General features: G+C 49.7%; 1 protein-coding gene across 7 annotated transcripts in view, besides 8 other annotated features; it reads left to right on the forward strand.

Annotated features, from left to right (window-relative positions):
• Positions 2,522–3,366: an enhancer, noted in NCBI's record as "H3K4me1 hESC enhancer chr12:122509410-122510254 (GRCh37/hg19 assembly coordinates)". NCBI's record gives its function as "activates a minimal SCP1, AML or CMV promoter by ChIP-STARR-seq in naive H9 embryonic stem cells {active_cell/tissue: H9 hESC(naive)}" and the evidence as "EXISTENCE:reporter gene assay evidence [ECO:0000049][PMID:30033119]".
• Positions 8,000–8,049: an enhancer, noted in NCBI's record as "active region_7200". NCBI's record gives its function as "activates an Ori minimal core promoter by ATAC-STARR-seq in GM12878 lymphoblastoid cells {active_cell/tissue: GM12878}" and the evidence as "EXISTENCE:reporter gene assay evidence [ECO:0000049][PMID:35858748]".
• Positions 9,317–9,596: a silencer, noted in NCBI's record as "silent region_5008". NCBI's record gives its function as "represses an Ori minimal core promoter by ATAC-STARR-seq in GM12878 lymphoblastoid cells {active_cell/tissue: GM12878}" and the evidence as "EXISTENCE:reporter gene assay evidence [ECO:0000049][PMID:35858748]".
• Positions 9,607–10,056: a silencer, noted in NCBI's record as "silent region_5009". NCBI's record gives its function as "represses an Ori minimal core promoter by ATAC-STARR-seq in GM12878 lymphoblastoid cells {active_cell/tissue: GM12878}" and the evidence as "EXISTENCE:reporter gene assay evidence [ECO:0000049][PMID:35858748]".
• MLXIP (MLX interacting protein) overlaps positions 9,774–18,001 on the forward strand; it is a 68,589-nt gene continuing 60,361 nt past the window's right edge. For all 7 annotated transcript variants that reach the window (XM_006719290.5, XM_006719292.5, XM_006719291.5 and 4 more), the window contains exon 1: positions 9,774–10,284. In XM_006719290.5, the coding sequence (XP_006719353.1) occupies positions 9,872–10,284 (413 nt within the window). In that variant the 5' untranslated portion in view covers positions 9,774–9,871. The remainder of the gene's footprint in view (positions 10,285–18,001) is intronic.
• Positions 10,117–10,356: an enhancer, noted in NCBI's record as "active region_7201". NCBI's record gives its function as "activates an Ori minimal core promoter by ATAC-STARR-seq in GM12878 lymphoblastoid cells {active_cell/tissue: GM12878}" and the evidence as "EXISTENCE:reporter gene assay evidence [ECO:0000049][PMID:35858748]".
• Positions 12,224–12,273: an enhancer, noted in NCBI's record as "active region_7202". NCBI's record gives its function as "activates an Ori minimal core promoter by ATAC-STARR-seq in GM12878 lymphoblastoid cells {active_cell/tissue: GM12878}" and the evidence as "EXISTENCE:reporter gene assay evidence [ECO:0000049][PMID:35858748]".
• Positions 12,344–12,393: an enhancer, noted in NCBI's record as "active region_7203". NCBI's record gives its function as "activates an Ori minimal core promoter by ATAC-STARR-seq in GM12878 lymphoblastoid cells {active_cell/tissue: GM12878}" and the evidence as "EXISTENCE:reporter gene assay evidence [ECO:0000049][PMID:35858748]".
• Positions 14,001–14,050: an enhancer, noted in NCBI's record as "active region_7204". NCBI's record gives its function as "activates an Ori minimal core promoter by ATAC-STARR-seq in GM12878 lymphoblastoid cells {active_cell/tissue: GM12878}" and the evidence as "EXISTENCE:reporter gene assay evidence [ECO:0000049][PMID:35858748]".

Below are 18,001 nucleotides of genomic sequence, written 5' to 3' on the forward strand. Positions count from 1 at the left end.
AGACGGAATCTCGCTCTTATTGCCAGGCTGGAGTGCAGTGGTGCGATCTTGGCTCACTGCAACCTCCAACTCCCTGGTTCAAGCGATTCTCCTGCCTCAGCCTCCCGAGAACCTGGGATTACAGGCACACTCCACCACGCCCAGCTAATTTTTATATTTTTGGTAGAGATGGGGTTTTGCCATATTGGCCAGGCTGGTCTCGAACTCCTGACCTCAAGCAATCCGCCCATCTCGGCCTCCCAAAGTGCTGGGATTACAGGTGTGAGTCACCACACCCAGCCTCTTTTTCCTTTTCTTTCTTTCTTTTTTTTTTTTTGAGACAGGGCCTTGCTCTGAGCTGGAGTGCAGTGGTGTGATCACGGCTCACTGCAGCCTCAACCTCCCGGGCTCAGGTGATCCACCCACCTCAGTCCCCCAGGTAGCTGTGATCATGCCACTGCACTCCAGCCTGGGCGACAGAGCAAGACCCTATCTCTAAATTTTAAAAAAGTGCAAAAATCTGGATGTAAATATTTACACTGGTCTTATTCATAACCACCAAAAACTAGAAACAACTAAAATGGCTTCAACTGGTAAATGTATAAACACGCAGTGGTACGTTCATAAAATGAAATACTATGCAGCAATAAAAAGGAATGAGCTACAGATACATGCAGCAGCAGGGCAGAATCTCAGATGTATTATGCTAAGTGAGAGAAGCCACACTCAAGGCTACTTTTTGAAGGATTCTGTTCCGGAAAAGGCAAAACAATGGGAACAAGAAACAGATGGGTAGTTGCCAGGGACTAGAATGCAGAGAGGGACTGACTACAAAGGGCAAGTGGGAACTGGGGGTGACGATGGGTACTGGAACTGGTGTGTGTGTGTGTGTGTGTGTGTTTGTGTTTGTATACGTGTCTATGTATGTATATGCGTGTGTGTATATTTTTTAAGAGACAAGGTCTTGTTCTGTCATCCAGTCTGGAGTGTAATGGCACGATCATAGCTCACTGCAGCCTCGAACTTCTGGGCTCAAGGGATTCTCCTGCCTCAGCTGCCCGAGTGGCTGGGACCACAGGCTCATGCCACCATGCCTGGCTAATTTTTAATTTTTTTGTACCAACAGGATCTTGCCATCTTGCCCAAGTTGGTTTCCAACTCCTGGGCTCCAGCGATCCTCCCCCCTCAGCCTCCCAAAGTGCTGGGATTACAAGTGTGAGCCACTGTGCCTGTCCTGTCCTATATCTTTTTTTTTTTTTTTTGACAGAGTCTCACTCTGTCGCCCAGGCTGGAGTGCAGTGGTGCAATCTTGGCTCACTGCAACCTCCGTGTCCCAGGTTAAAGCAATTCTGCCTCAGCCTCCCAAGTAGCTGGGATTACAAGCTCATGCCACCACGCCCAGCTAATTCGTGTATTTCACCATGTTGGCCAGGCTGGTCTTGAACTCCTGACCTCAAATGATCCACATGCCTCAGCCTCCCAAAGTGCTGGGATTACAGGCATGAGCCACCGCGCCCGGCCCTGTCTTATATCTTGATTGCGGTAGTGTTCACTTGACTGTATATGTTTGTCAAAACTCCTGGAACTGTACATTAAAAAGAACTTTTCCAGGTGCAGTGGCTCATGCCTGTAAACCCAGCACTTTGGGAGGCTGAGGCAGGCGGATCATTTGAGGTCTGGAGTTCAAGACCAGCCTGGCCAACAGGGCGAAAACCCGTCTCTACTAAAAATACAAAAATTAGCCGGGCATGGTGGCATGTGCCTATAGTCCCAGCTACTCGGGAGGCTGAGGCAGGAGAATCGCTTGAACCCAGGAGGTGGACGTTGCAGTGAGCTGAGATTGTGCCACTGCACTCCAGCCTGGGCAACAGAGTGGGATTCTGTCTCAAAATAAATAAATACATAAATGAATAAAGAGGACAGTCAGACTGTGCACAGTGGCTCATGCTTGTAATCCCAGCACTTTGGGAGCCCAAGGCAGGAGGATCCCTTGAGCCCAGGAATTCTTTTTTTTTTTTTTTTTTTTTTTCTTGAGGCAGAGTCTAATTCTGTCGCCAGCCAGGTTGGAGTGCAGTGGTGATCTCGGCTCACTGCAATCTCCGACTCCCAGGTTCAAGCGATTCTCCTGCCTCAGCCTCCCGAGTAGCTGAGATTACAAGCGTGTGCCATCACGCCCGACTAATTTTTGTATTTTTAGTAGAGACGGGGTTTCACCATGTTGGCCAGGATGGTCTTGATCTCCTGACCTTGTGATCCGCCCGCCTCGGCGTCCCAAAGTGCTGGGATTACAGGCGTGAGCCACTGCACCCGGCCAGAGCCCAGGAATTCAAGACCAGCCTGGGCAACATAGGGAGACCATGTCTCTATAAAAAAATTAAATAATATAAAAATAAAGAGGATAGTTGCTCCTGAGCTCCAGCTGCTGACACGTGGAAATAAGGGCCCGGTATTGTCAGGTGTTCTGATAGTACAGGAAAATCCTAACTTTTCTTTTTTGAGACAGAGTGTTGCTCTGTCACCCAGGCTGAAGTATAATGGCGTGATCTCAGCTCACTGCAACCTCCGCCTCCCGGGTTCAAGCGATTCTCCTGTCTCAGCCTGCCGAGTAGCTGGGACTACAGGCATGGGCCACCACGCCCGGCTAATTTTTGTATTTTTAGTAGAGACGGGGTTTCACCATGTTGTCCAGGCTGATCAACTTCTGACCTCAAATGATCCACCCACCTTGGCCTCCCAAAGTGCTGGGATTATAGGCGTGAGCCACCGGCGCCCAGCCAATCCTAACATTCTAATGTCTATAATATGAAATGTCATGATTTTTACAATGTTAGCAAATCATTCAAAATTTTAGTAAACTGTCTAGATGTTAGTTTTTACTATGGTAAAAACATCGGCCAGGCGCGGTGGCTCATGCCTCTAATCCCAGCACTTTGGGAGGCCGAGGCGGGCGGATCACAAGGTCAAGAGATCGAGACCATCCTGGCTAACACAGTGAAACCCCGTCTCCACTAAAAATACAGAAAACTAGCCAGGTGTGGTGGCAGGCGCTTGTAATCCCAGCTACGGGAGGCTGAGGCAGGAGAATGGTGCGAACCCGGGAGGCGGAGGTTGCAGTGAGCCGAGATTGGGCCACTGCACTCCAGCCTGGACGACAGAGCAGACTCCATCTCAAAAAAAAAAAAAATGGTCACCCCTTTTGCTCCTAAATCACCCTCAAAGTAAAAGAGAACAAGAAACAGAAGCAGAAATCCATATTTAGTGAAATAAGACAACACCTGTAGCTCCAAACCTGTAGAAGCAGATCCCAGAGAAAAGCAGGCCAGTTCTCTCCTGGAATCCCAGAAAGTCCCAGGAATTGGAGGCTTCAGTGCTGCAGTAGGGAGGGGACTAAAAACAAAGTCTGTATATGGAGCAGTAAGACCTCCGGGTTCTCATCCCCCATCCTGTGTGCTCTCGGGTGACTAGCCCTCTCCCTCTCCAGGTTTAGCTTCTGGAGAAATTAAATCAAAGAGGCTCTAGAACTGGGGATGGCAGGCATTGAGTGCAGGGAGTGAGTTGCCAGAGGCTGAGAGCAGAGAGATTTAGTGGCAGTGGGCAGAGCAAACAGCAAAATGACTGCCCTCTTCCCTGGCCTTGCTCCAGAAACTGAGCAGCCAGACATACACACTCCCAGAAGGCAGTTGGAGGTCCCCCCGGGCAATCAGAACCACCCACAGAGAAGACCTCCAGATACTGACATTTAGAAGCCTCTGACCAAAGAGCTGCCTGGCCACCCACTGGCTTACTCGCTGACAGGCCATGCTCCTGCCGTACACACCGATCCTATCAGTCATCCTCATGGGCTCCTTTCCAGACTTCTGAGGAAAGCTTCCAACATGAAGAGGGAGTTCAAAACAAACAGAGAGAGAGAGAGAGAGAGAGAGAAAAGAAATATAAACAATGCAGGGAGCAAAAGATAACTTCAAATAAACTCAAAATATTCTTCTGGGAGAGATGAGACAATATTGCATACATAAAACAAGAAGAGGATGCTATCACTAAATTTTAAAAAAAAGTAACAGAAAGTAAGAAAGACCTCTAAGAAATGTTTCTGAAATGAGGTATAATTTTTTTTTTTTTGAGAGGGAGTCTTACTCTGTCACCCAGGCTGGAGCGCAGTGGCGTGATCTCAGCTCACTGCAACCTCCGTCTCCCAGGTTCAAGCGATTCTCGTGCCTCAGTGCCCCGAGTAGCTGGAATTACAGGTACACACCACCACGCCTGGCTAATTTTTGTATTTTTAGTAGAGGCGGGGTTTACACCATGTTGGCCAGGCTGGTGTCAAACTCCTGACCTCAGGTGATCCACCTGCCTTGGCTTCCCAAAGTGCTAGGATTACAGGCGTGAGCCACTGGACCTGGCGAAAACTCTTTTTTTAATCATAACTTTAAAAACCCAGTTTTAAGTTTTATTTTTTGTGCTACACTGTTTCTTGTGTTCCATATCGTTCTCGTACTTGAATTTCATTTTTGTCTTCTTGGAGAGAACAACCTCTAGTAGTAATTCTTTCTAATGTGGCCAATGGATGAAAAGACTATTTTACCTTCTATCCTCTAAAATTTATTGAGGTGACAATATAAGGAGCTCAAACAACTCTACAGGAAAAAAAATCTAATCATCTGATTTAAAATGGGCAAAAGAACTGAATAGACATTTATCAAAAGAAGACATACAAATGGCAAACAGGTATATGAAAAGATGCTCAACATCACTGATCATCAGAGTAATGCAAATCAAAACTACAACGAGGCCAGGTGTGACGGCTCACACCTGTAATCCCAGCACTCTGGGAGGGTGAGGTGGGAGGATCACTTAAGCCCAGGAGTTCAAGACCAGCCTGGGCAACATGGGGAGACCCAGTCTCTACAAAAAATTAATAAATTGGCCAGGTGTAATGGCACATACCTGTAGTCCAAGCTACTCTGGAGGCTGAAGTGGGAGGATCACTTGAGTCCAGGAGGTAAAGGATGCAGTAAGCCTTGATTGTATTACTGCACTCCAGCCTGGGCAACACAGTAAGACCCTGTCTCAAAACAAACAAACAAAACAACAACACACTAAATGAGAAATCATCTGTATTAGTCCATTTTCACACTACTGATAAAGGCATACCCGAGACTGAGCAACTTACAAAAGAAAGAGGTTTAAGGGACTCACAGTTCCATGTGGCTGGGGAGGCCTCACAATCATGGTGGAAGGTGAAAGACACATCTCACATGGCCGCAGACAAGAGAAGAGAGCTTGTGCAGGGAAACTCCCCTTTTTAAAAATCATCAGATCTCATGAGACTTATTCACTATCACTAGAACAGCACAGGAAAGGCCTGCCCCCCATGATTCAATTACCTCCACCGGGTCCCTCCCACAACACATGGGAATTCAAGATGAGATTTGGGTGGGGACACCCAAATCATATCATCATCTCACCCCAGTTAAACCATATCATCATCTCACTCCAGTTAATGCAGCTCTTGGCTGGGCACAGTGGCTTGTGTCTGTAATCCCGGCACTTTGGGAGGCCAAGGTAAGCAGACAATTTAAGTTCAGGAGTTCCAGAGCAGCCTGGTGAACATAGTGAAACCCTGTCTTTACTAAAAATACAAAATTTAGCTGGGCATGGTGGCGGGCCCCTGTAATCCCAGCTACTCTGGAGGATGAGGCAGGAGAATTGCTTGAACTGAGAGGAGGTTCATAAAATAAAAATAAAGGCTGTGTTTGTATCGCTGGGAAATTTTCTTTTATTGCTGCTTTGGTTATTTCCTCTCTTGTTTACTTCTTTCTTTCTGTAACTATCTAGATGGATCCTCCATGTCACAACTTCTCTTTTCCTTTTGGCAGTTTTCTGGGAGAAACCCTCAGTTTGTTTATTTATTTTGAGATGGAGTTCGCTCTTGTTGCCCAGGCTGGAGTGCAATGGCGTGATCTCGGCTCACCAAAACCTCTGCCTCTTGGGTTCAAGTGATTCTCCTGCCTCAGCTTCCTGAGTAGCTGGGATTACAGGCATGCGCCACCATGCCTGGCTAATTTTGCATTTTTAGTAGAGACGGGGTTTCACCATGTTGGCCAGGCTGGTCTGAAACTCCCGACCTCAGGTGATCTGCCCACCTCAGCCTCCCAAAGTGCTGGGATTACAGGCATGAGCTACCGTGCCTGGCCTGTGTATTTTTGGAGACAGAGTCTTGCTCTGTTGCCCAGGCTGGAGGGCAGTGGTGCAAACTCTGCCTCCCGGGTTCAAGCGATTCTCGTGCGTCACCTCCCAAGTAGCTGGGGCTAGAGGCATGTGCCACCATGTCTGGTTACTTTTTATATAAACCTTCAGTTTAATCTTTTAGCTTACTGCTGTGTTTTTCAGCTTTATTCACTTTGCTTTTTTTCTATATTTTCGTTTCAACTCAACTTTTAAAAAATCATACTTGTATATTTGTATATTTATATTTATTTTCCAAGACCTCATTTGCCTCTTTTTCATAATGGGCTATTATTGCTCCATGGTACAGAATCTTCTGTTCTTTCCTAAACTATTAGTTATTTTTAAAATATTTGTTAACTTTCTCCCCCTTGCTAGTTCTCAGGTACCCGCTTTCTCCCAGAGTGCTGGCTTTCCTTAATTATTTGCTGACTTGTGCTGGTGTGTAACCCTTCATACTTAGGTATTTCTATTTGTCTGACTGCTGATTTGATTCCAATCCAGTGTTTCTTCTGATTCGTGGAGAAGAGACGACAACGCTGTGAGGCTCTGGTTTTGGTGGCTTGTCTGGGTGTGGGAGCTCCTTGTCATCATGGGATTTTTAGCTCCCTGGGTCGCCATCCTACATGGCCACTCTCCTGCCGATGCTGCCCGCTACTCAGCAGGAGGGGAAGTCGAGACCACCTCCTTAACCTTACAGACATTGATTGTGAGCTTGGAGCACCTTCCGTGACTGGACCACCCATGCAGTGGTCCTTTGCTTTTTGCATTTTTAACTGCAATTTTCCCCAAGAGTCTTCCCTAATACAGTCTCTTAGGAATTGACGGTGGGATTAAACAAGGCATGTTTCTGCACTGAATATGGTCTATGGGTTGCCACTTTGCAACCTCAGCTTTAAGGCTTATTTCCTCCCAGGAAACTGATGTTAACTTTTTAAGTTAAAAATGTGTATATAAGTAATACATGTTTATTTTGGAAATTAGAAAATACAGGCCAGGTGTGGTGGCTCATGCCTGTAATCCCAGCATTTTGGGAGGTTGAGGCAGGAGGATTGCCTGAGCCCAGGAGTTTGAGACCAGCCTGGGCAACATAGGGAAATTCCATCTCTACAAAAAAATTAAACATTAGCTGGGTGTGGTGGTGCCCACCTGTGGTCACAGCTACTCGGGAGACTGAGGTGGGAGGATAGCTTGGGCAGGGGAGGTTGAGGCTACAGTGAGCCACGATCACACCAATGTGACACAGTGAGACCCTGTCTCAAAAAAAAAAAAAAAGAAAGAAAATATAGGTAAACACAAAGACAAAAAAGCAGGGCATGGTGGCTCACACCTGTAATTCTAGCACCTTGGGAGGCTGAGGCAGGAGGATCACTTGAGGTCAGGAACTCGAGACGAGACCAGGCTGGGCAGCATGGCGAGACCCCATCTCTATAAAAAGTACAAAAATTAGCAGGGCACGGTGGTGTGCACCTGTGGTCCTGCTACTTGGGAAGTTGAGGTGGGAGGATCACCTGAGCCCTGGAGGTTGAGGGTGCTGTGAGCCATGATGGCACCACTCCACTCCAGTCCAGGTGAAAGAGCCAGATCCTGTCTCAAAAAAAAAAAAAAAAAAAAGTGGCTGGGCATGTAAACTTACCAAGGACCAAGGAGACAAGTCTTGAGAGAAAGGAAGGCAACTCAAAGGATGGACTTTTAAACACTTGTAACCAGCATTGGGAACAGTAGTAGGTTGAAGAGGGAAATCTAGAACTCATGCCTGAAAACTGCCAGTCATCCAGCCCATTTTTCCATACAGACATTTGGAAATAAGTTAATGGAGCCATTTTGGTGAGAGCCCTCTGTTCCCTTCAGGAGGCCTTTGTCAGGAAGAGGGTGGGGCAGGGGACTCACCCCCCACTCAAATCTGGAACTGAAACCAGCTTCAAAGCCGAGTGCAGAGCCAGCGCGGTGGCTCATGCCTGTCATCCCAGCACTTTGGGAGTCCAAGGCAGGCCTCACTTGAGGTCAGGAGTTCCAGACCGGCCTGGCCAACATGGTGATTGCACCACTGCGCTACAGCCTTGGGTGACAGAGCAAGACTCTGTCTCAAAAAACAAAACAACAATAAAACAAAGCAGAGTGCAGGAGTGGCTGTGGACTCTGGACGCCCTGCTAGGATTAGGATGGGTGTTCCTGGCTCATGGGCCTCACTGGCTCTTCTGATGCCCTGCCACCCCCACCCCAGACTGGCTTTGAGCCCCGGAAACCTTGACAGCTTTCTAGAGGTGTCTGTCAGTTAGGTTGTGCCACGCGAAGTTGCCGTTTCTGCAGGTCAAATAGTGGTGGACTATTGGCAATTTCTAGGCACCTCTGGTCTGGTTGATCCAAATCCTCCAACCTGTGGCACATTTATTTAGCGCTCATTTTGTGCCAGCCTGCCTGCTAAGCAACTTATAGCCATTTTTATTTGTATTTATTTTTCTTTTTGAGACAGGGCCTCGCTCTGTCGCCCAGGCTAGAGTGCAATGGCGCAATCTCGGCTCACTGCAACCTCCACCTCCCGGATTCAAGCGATTCTCCTGCCTCAGCCTCCCGAGTAGCTGGGATTACAGGGGTGCACCACTACGACCGGCTAATTTTTGTTATTTTTAGTAGAGACAGGGTTTCACCGTGTTGGCCTGGCTGGTCTTGAACTTCTGGCCTCAAGTGATCCACCCGCCTCGGCCTCCAAAAGTGCTAGGATTACAGGCATGAGCCACCGCGCCCCACTATAGCCATTTTTAAACTGTCCCAAGTTTCTGAGGAAACGGAATTGTTCACCATTTGACAGAGAAGAAAACTCTGGCTCAGATACTCCCCTTTTAGAATTGTTTCGGGGGCTGGCTCGTCCGTCAAACTTTAAAAAAATAACAACAGCATGCTGAGTTGAAGTTAAAAGAGCTGGGGTCTGGAGGTCGCTGGGCTCAGGGGCGCTGCCACTCAACAGCTGCGCCGAGCTGGGGACGCGCAGGGGAAGCAAGTTCCCAGCTCTGTGGACTCCAGGTCTGAGAAAAATCCTGTCGGTATTCAGCCACCCAGTGTTCCCATCAATACGATGAGAATAATGAGGACAATAGCCACCACGTCCGGCAAACTCAGGCGTGAGCTGCGAGGACTCGGTACCGCCCGGCAGGGAAAAAGCAGGGCCTGGAGGCCGAGGAGCCCCACCCGCACCCACCACGTGGAGCCGGCCGGGCCTGCGGCGAAGCCACAGGGCGACTCCCGGGGCGCGGAGCGGGGCGGGGGCGGGACTAGCACGGCCCCACTCTGCCGACGCCTCTCCCAGGTCGCGACACCGGCGAGCCGCTCCGCCCGGCCACCGTGTCCCTCAGCACCCACGGACGCCGGGAGAGGAGGAGGTGGCGAGGGGCACGGCCGGGAGGCGTGGCCTCCGCTTCCCCTTTTTTTTTTTTTTTGGTCCGCCTAGCTAAGGAAAGGTTCCCCTGCGCCTTTAAGAGGCCGACGCGGGCAGCCGATTGGCCCAGACGCCTCGGTGACGTCACGCCGGGGCCGGAGCCCTCCCCCTCCCGCCGCGCCGCGCGCTCGCGGACAGTCGGCGCGCGGGCCGGGCCGGGCCGGCGCCCCTCTGCCTCGCGCGCTTGTCGCGTTGCCCCGGGCTCCGGGGGATGCCCCCGGCCGAGCCCTTCTCATGGCCGCCGACGTCTTCATGTGCTCCCCGCGCCGGCCTCGCAGCCGGGGCCGCCAGGTGCTGCTCAAGCCCCAGGTGTCCGAGGACGACGACGACTCGGACACGGATGAGCCGTCCCCGCCGCCCGCCTCCGGCGCGGCCACCCCGGCCCGGGCCCACGCGAGCGCCGCGCCACCGCCGCCTCGGGCCGGGCCGGGCCGCGAGGAACCTCCGCGCCGCCAGCAGATCATCCACAGCGGCCACTTCATGGTGTCGTCGCCGCACCGAGAGCACCCGCCCAAGAAGGGCTACGATTTCGACACGGTCAACAAACAGACGTGCCAGACCTACAGCTTCGGCAAGACTAGCTCCTGCCACCTGTCCATCGACGCCTCGCTCACCAAGCTCTTCGAGTGCATGACTTTGGCCTACAGGTAGGGACCCCCGCGACCCCCTGAGGCCCCGGCCGGAGGCCCTTGTTTGACAAAACAAGCGTGGAGGGAAGGGCCGCCTGGCAACCCCGTGGCTTCATGCATTCCCTTTGGGTCTTCCTCCTTCGGGAGGGTTTATGGATCTGGGGTTCCCCGCGTTGCCAGAGGAGCCGGGGTCCTGGCCTCTTCCCCTGCCAGCAGTGCCGGGGTCCTTTCGGGTTCACGTTCCCCATCCAGGCCCTCCCCTCCAGTGTCCTGGGACCACCGATGTTGGACGAGGAAGAGGTATAAACACTGGCTGCATCTTGTGTTACCCGACTCTATCGACTCCTTCCTCCAAACGCTTTGTGTGTTTCCCCCATATCCAGCAGCGGTCAGGACCACCTGTTCGGGGTGACTGGAGGCTGGCTCTGCTGTTTAATGGTTGTGTAACACCTCGGAGCCTGTTTCCTCCTTTATAAAAGGGGAATGACTGTAGTGTCTGCCTCCAAGGGGCTGTTGTGGGGATGGAGTGAGATAGGTAAATTGCTTATTCCAGTGCTTGGCCAGAGTTAGGTGTCCCTGCACCTGGAGGCTGGCCCCCTTACAACCTCATCGGGAGGCCCGCCCCCATCTCGGGAGGGCTTTGGGTGCCTCCTAAGAAGACTTTTGGTGCCACAGCTGTTGGAGGTGCAGTCTGTCCTTCTGGCAAGTTGGAGGGTTTTCTGGCCGGTCCTGAAACATTATATGAGGGAGATGTCATTGTTGAGGGCAGACATCCCAGACACCGTTCTGACATGTGGATTCGGCTCTGGGCAGAGATTCCTCTTTTCCAAGTCACAGAAAATGCCTGGCCCTCAAAGATTAAAGCGCTTTTTCACTCTCTCTCCCTTTCCCACTATGAATATTAGGTATTTGCTGCAGGTAACTTTTTTGTCTGCGCAACAGAACTTCTTTGGACTGGCAGCAGCGGCCTTGAGCAGCTTGGCCCTGCAGAAAGCTCATGATGGGATCTCTGCTGAGTTAAGCTTATTGCATTAGGAACTGGACTAGCGGGGGCTGTCTTAGGTCTGCTCTGGAGGCATCGCGGGAGAAGTTTCCTAGGAGACTCCATAAACAGCGTAATAAAAGAGCAGGAATATCTTGCCCCCTCTCACCTCACCTTTTTAAGAGAGCTGTGAGCCCCAAGCATATCCAGGTTTAAATGTTATGCTTTTACCTGAAGTTAAAATATTAGATACTTAGCCCTGGATGGCACCCCCCTCACCGCCGCGGTCCCTGGAATAAACGATTAGTCAACTTGTTCTTTGTTATGTTCCTGAAACACCCCTATTTCCTCTCTTGAAGGTTTCCCTGATGATCTGTTCCCGTAGCTCCTCCTCCCATCCCCCTTACCCGGCACATTGGTCAGTCTCTGCTGATTCTCTGGTCTTGCCAGTTTGAGCTGGCACTGAGCCTGTAAAGATGTTCTGCTTTTTAAAAAACAAATGGTGTTGAGGCTGCAGCCCTGTGCGCCCTCCAGTCTCTGATTTTGAGCAGTTCCATTGGAATCAAACCCGACTGGATCGCAGCATATGCTATGCCTCGAGAGAGCCTTTTCAAACAAAGCTCGAGGTGAAAGACTGGAATGTATCTTATTAAGAAAACTTAATCCTCTTCTTTATTTTAATATAAACTTCTACATATACAGGGAGAGAATGGATGAGTCACGGGGGGCATGGACTGGAAAGGTCTCACCTAAGTAAGCTCTGCTAAATGAAAACTAAATCAGTCTCCCCTTTGCACTCTTGTTTGGATAACCTAAAGGCTTATTAAACAACACCAAATAATTTTAGTAATGGCATTTTTTTTTTCATTTCTCTCAAAAATATTTTGGCAGCTGGCCGTTGCTCAGTTAACTTTCTTGATTGCAAAATGCACCATCAGTTTGGTGCAAGAAGCTTATCTTGCTCTCTTGGCTCTCTCACTTTCGCTGCTTTTCCCTGTGCCTAAGGTCTCCTGCTGCCTAAGGTCGGCCACCTAAGGTCTACCACCACAGGCCCTCGGATGGGATCTGTCCAGTCATTTCTCATGAAGATGCCCTTTGTCTGTCTGTGTGAGGCTGGTTTGTCCAGTGCTGAGTTTAGTTGGCAGTGTAGAACTTTGGTATGGATGACAGACAAATGACTCAAAACCAGTTGTCTGGGCTGTAGTCTGTGGCACAGAAAGAAACTAGAGGAAGGTGAGTTTCTGACCCCAGCTCTCCTAGTGAGAACTGCTACCTGGCTTTCAGGGAAGGAAGGTTGAGATCGGAGGCAACGCGGGGCGTGGTGGCTCATGCCTGTAGTCCCAGCACTTTGGGAGGCCGAGGTGGGGGATTGCTTGAGCCCAGGAGTTCAAGATCAGCCTGGGCAATGTAGCAAGATCCCCATCTCTAAAAAAGAAAAAGAAAGAAAGAAAAAAAGGGATTGGGGGCAGGGCAGAAAGAAGACTTAACCTCAGAGCCTGTCTGGCTTCCATCCTGGTGGGGTTCATGCCTTCCCTGCCGGCTGTCTGGGTCCTCCCCTCCTGCCCGAGCTGAGAAAGGCCAGCTGGGTCTCCTCTTCTGTGTGACTGTTTCTGGCCTAGGTTCTTTCTAACTTCAACTTCCTGTCTGTCCTCTGGCCTCTTCGTTCTAGCTGTCTAACTCTCCGTGGTACACTCTGCTTTTTGTTGTTGTTGTTTGATTTCCTGTTAGCTGCTGCCTCCCAGCTGTTTCCAGATGAGGTTCAACAGCTCTCTGGGGAGGAACTAAGTGCAGGGGAAGTTGTGGTTATTTTTTACCGAGTCCTGAGAAGTGGCCTAGGGATTCTGACTGTGATCCATTCCTGAACTGGCAGGGCTTCACCTCCTGAAGGGTCTTTGCCCGGGGCTGACTTTGGGTGTGGAACAGGGTGTTTGAGGACTTGGATATGAGTGTGCCCAGGGCCTGCTGGGTAGGGAACCGTGCAGATGGGATTCCTTGTCCTTCTCACTCAGTTTTGCTGAGAAGCCCTGTGGCGAAGGGTCTTGATTTGGTCCAGAAACATGTGCTCAATTATTGGGACATTTTGGAGAGAAGGGGTTGCCTTTCCCCGAGGCAAACCAGGTGTTAATGATGGAAAAAATCCTTATTTTTCCTTAGACTTATCTGAAGTCTAAGAATGCTATTCAATGGGAAAGATAAAATTTCCCTGCAAGGTGGAAGTGAGGATCAGCAGAGATAACCTCTGGGAATGGAGCTGGGAATGGGGCTAGTGCCTGGCAAGTAACACACAAGAGGAGGGTTTAACGGGCTCCGCATAGCAAGTGGGTTATGGCAGAATTTTAGTTCTGCATCTGCATTCATCTGACATTTATGAGGAGCCCGTGTCTTATCTATGAACTGAAGGAAATAGTGTATCTAACCAGGGTCTTAGCTGAGCTTTCAAATGCCTGCTTGACAAATACTAAATAGAAGCATTCTTGATTTGGCCGGGTGCTTTCTGAGGCTCTACAATGGAGCTATGTACTGTAGAACATAGTTCATGGTTCTTGCCCTCTTGACACTGTAAGGAATGTCACACATGTATATCCTTCACACAGAATTTCCTTTTTTTGAGATAGGATCTCGCTCTGTTTCCCAGTCTGGAGGATAGTGATGTGATCACAGCTCACTGCAGCCTTGACCTCCCAGGCTCAAGCAGTCCTCTTGTCTCAGCCTCTTGAGTAGCTGGGACTGCGGGCACGCACTACTATGCCTGGCTAATTTTTTATTTTTTGTAGATATGGGGTGTTGCTATGCTTCTCAGGATGGTCTTGAACTCCTGGCCTTAAGCAGTCCTTCCACCTCAGCCTTCCAAAATGATGAGATTCTAGGAGTGAGCTATTGTGCCCAGCCCCCACCTACAGATTCTGAACACTTCTAGTGTGTACCTTTTTGTGGTTGGTTTTGGTTCCATTTCTTTGCCTTTTTAGAAACTCCTTATTTCAGGGAGCGTTGGTATGAATATTTCCGGTGGTGGGGGGAAGAGATAGTCTTTTTCTGTATTTAGAGATAAGCAGTTTCTGGAAAATAGGTTTCTGTTTAAGAAGTGGGTGTTTGGAGAGACTTAAATTAGGGCTTGTAAGATAGCCTTGGGATGTAAGTTTCTAAAAAGTGGCCCCCTCCACGAATGCTTTGTATAGTAACCCTTCATTCTTTTTTTTTTTTGAGACGGAGTTTCGCTCATGTTGCCCAGTCTGGAGTGCAATGGTGCGATCTCGGCTCACTGCAACCTCTGCCTCCTGAGTTCAAGTGATTCTCCTGCCTCAGCCTCCCAAGTAGCAAGGATTACAGGCATGCACCACCATGCCCGACTAATTTTGTATTTTTAGTAGAGATGGGGTTTCTCCATGTTGGTCAGGCTGGTCTCGAACTCCCAACCTCAGGTGATCTGCCTGCCTCAGCCTCCCAAAATGCTGGGATTACAGGCGTGAGCCACCGGGCCCGGCTAACCCTTCATTCTTGATCAAAGCGGGAATCTGTGCCAGACTTAAGGAGTAGCAAGGGCTAAAGGTTAGAGCACTGTGTCCTCCAAACTTTGAATTTTCAGTAGAGGTACTGTCTAATGCTAAGCACAGTTAACCAGTTGTAAATGGAAACCTTTCATGCAAATACTAAATTGGTTTTTCTCTTTTGCAGTCATACGGAAGATAAGCAGTGTTTCTTCTCCTGCGTTCTTCAGTCTTTAACCATTAGATGGTGCGCCGTTGCAGGGTGTGCACTGAGGTGGGAGCCGGGGCTGCAGAGATGAAAAAACACAGTCTCTCTCCTCAAGGGGCTCACAGGCTAGGCGTGGGGACAGATAGTTATAGAACAGTTAGTAAGGGCTGTGATAACTGTGACCTCTTGTGACACTACCGGGAAGGATATCTCAGCCAGATTGTGTGTGTGTGTGTGTGTGTGTGTGTGTGTGTGTGTGTGTGTGTGTGTTGACATGACCAGGAGCAGTGCGGATGGTTTTCCTGACATCAGGCTTCAATGTGTATCTCCCCTTTCGCTGTTAACTCTCAAAGATTACCAATTACATTACCCAACAGGAAGCCCCAGTGCTCCCCGCTTTAGCGGTGTGGGACCAAACTTCCATTGCTTGTAGACGCTGGTTGGTTCATTGCCCACATGCTGGAAGGGGAGGAAGGAGAGGAAGGGGAGGAAGACCTGGGGAAAGAGTCCAGGTGACGAGGTTAGAGGAGAGGATGGAGGGAGGTTATTTTCCGGGTGGAAGAAGAAAAGAGAATTCACACAGACTGAACATTTATTATGTTCCACATTCTCCTTCCATGACCTTTTTTTTTGTTTGTTTGAGACGGAGTTTCGCTCTTGTCACCCAGGCTGGAGTGCAGTGGCGTGATCTTGGCTCACTGCAACCTCTGCCTCCCAGGTTCAAGCGATTCTCCTGCCTCAGCTTTCCAAGTAGCTGGGATTACAGGTATGCATCACCATGCCCAGCTAAGTTTTTGTATCTTTAGTAGAGACAGGATTTTGCCATGTTGGCCAGGCTGGTCTCAAACTCCTGACCTCAAGTGATCGGCCAGTCTCGGCCTCCCAAAGTGCTGAGGTTACAGGCGTGAGCCACTGTGCCCGGCCTCTTAACGTGATCTTAAGCAACTCACACAACAACCCTGTCAGGTAGGTGGTGGTGGAATCCTCATTTTAAAAAATAAATAAGTAAATAAAAAATAAAAAACCAAAGCTCAGACGTTAATTAGCTGTGTTACCGAGAGGTTACACAACTTGTCCACGGAAAAGTGTCTTGAGGAGAAAAGTGACCTACCTTATCTGCCCACAAAAGCCCGGCTTCTGTTAGAGGAGAGTGCAAATGCCAGTTCCTCTCCAGAGCGGGAAACCCAGATGGGGAAGGTGGATGCCTCGGTCCACTCCATGTCTCTCTGTGGCTGCCCTCCCTGCTGGCGAAACCCTGTGCTTCCCAGAGTGCATGAACATCGCATCCCCCTGGAAGGCACCCTGATGTCATTCGGCCTGTGTCATTATGTGATCCCGGCTTACCAGAATCCCTGCTGTCTTCACCTTTGACTTCCGCGCTAAGCCTAACAGCTTCGGCACATCCTAGGAGATTAAGAATCATCTGATGGATTGAAAGGGACACTCAGGGACCTGGAAGCCAACTTTATAATCTGTAGTGAATTTTTTTTTTTTTTTTGAGATGGAGTCTCGCTCTGTCGCCCAGGCTGGAGTGCAATGGCGCGATCTGGGCTCACTGCAACCTCCGCCTCCTGGGTTCAAGTGATTCTCCTGCCTCAGCCTCCTGAGTAGCTGGGATTACAGGCACATGCCACCATGCCCGGCTAATTTTTGTATTTTTGGTAGAGATGGGGTTTCATCATGTTGGTCAGGCTGTTTTTTTGTTTGTTTGTTTTTCTTTTCTCACTTGCAAGCTAACAAGTTAAGTGAATTGTGTTTATCTTGAGCTCTGCAGAGACAAACACAACCTTTGTGGAATGGTGCTTTAGGGGACATTGGCGTGGAGTGGGACAACAAGATAAGTGCTTTTGCTGGATGGTGTTCGTATCGTGGCTTGCTTGGACAGGTGTGGTGGGCAGATTAATGGCCCCCCGAAGATGTGCACATCCTCATCCACAGAACCTGTGACTGTGCTAGGTCATATGGCAAAGGCGAATTAAGGTTACAGATGGAATCAAGGTTGCTGGTCTACTGACCTTAACATAGGGAGATTATCTGGATTATCTGAGTGAGCCTGGTGTAATCACAGGGGTCCTTAAAATTAAGAGGGAATCAAAGAGAGAACCAGAGAGTGAGCAGCAGAGGAAGGATGTCAGCTGCTGTTGGCAGCTTTGAAGATGGAGGAAAGCCACGGGATTGGGAATATGGGCCCCTCAGAGCTGGAAAAGGCGAGGGGACGGGTTCTCCCCCAGAGCTTCTGGGAAGAACGCAGCCCTGCTGAATCTTGTGAGACCCAAATCAGACCTCTGACCTCTAGAACTGTAAAATCATAAAGTCTGTTGTTCTAAGCCACTAAGTTTGCGGTAATTTGTTACAGTGACAACAGGAAACTCATCTTCACTCTTCTCCCACCACAGGAGAGCAGAGGAGCCCACCCCGGGCTTAAGATTGAGCTATGCCGTGGGTCCTCGGCACCAGCGAGGGGATCTAGTGATAGGAGGGCCCTGGTTATAAAAGGAAAGGTCTGTAAAGTGGATCCTTGTTCCCTGGTATAATTTCTATAATAGAAGTGTTGTAGAAAGTTAATTTTCCTTTTTTTAAAGGATTTATGTGATGGCTGATGAGAGCCTGAGCTCTCATTCCCTAGAATCAAATTACTTCTTGGGTAGAAAATGTGCAGTCCAGATAGCCAGTGTCTTAGGTGATTACTTTCTGTATTTTGTTGGAGTTCTGTTGTCTGTGATTAGAATTCAGGCCACAGGGTGTGTGTTTTTGGCAGAGTTCTCTAGCCGCGTGGATCAGGGACCCTCGTGCTGGCCTGTGGAATGGGGTGCTGGTCACCTCATGCTAATTCCAGGACTTCGAGGACTGGCCGATTTCAGTGGAGACTGGTCCTGGGTTCCAGGCAGTGCTAGGTCCCCCGCGGGGGAGATGCTCTTCTTCACTGTCCGGCCAGACGCCTTGAAGAGACTGACTCTCACAGGCCAGCCCTGCCGTCTTTGCAGCCCTGCTTCTTGTGCTGCCGCCGGCTGTCACCCACCACCCTGTTTCTTTTCTGGTACAAAGCTCTGCCCCTGGGAG

This window comes from Homo sapiens, chromosome 12 (genome assembly GCF_000001405.40).
Source record: "Homo sapiens chromosome 12, GRCh38.p14 Primary Assembly".
Lineage (NCBI taxonomy): Eukaryota > Metazoa > Chordata > Mammalia > Primates > Hominidae > Homo > Homo sapiens.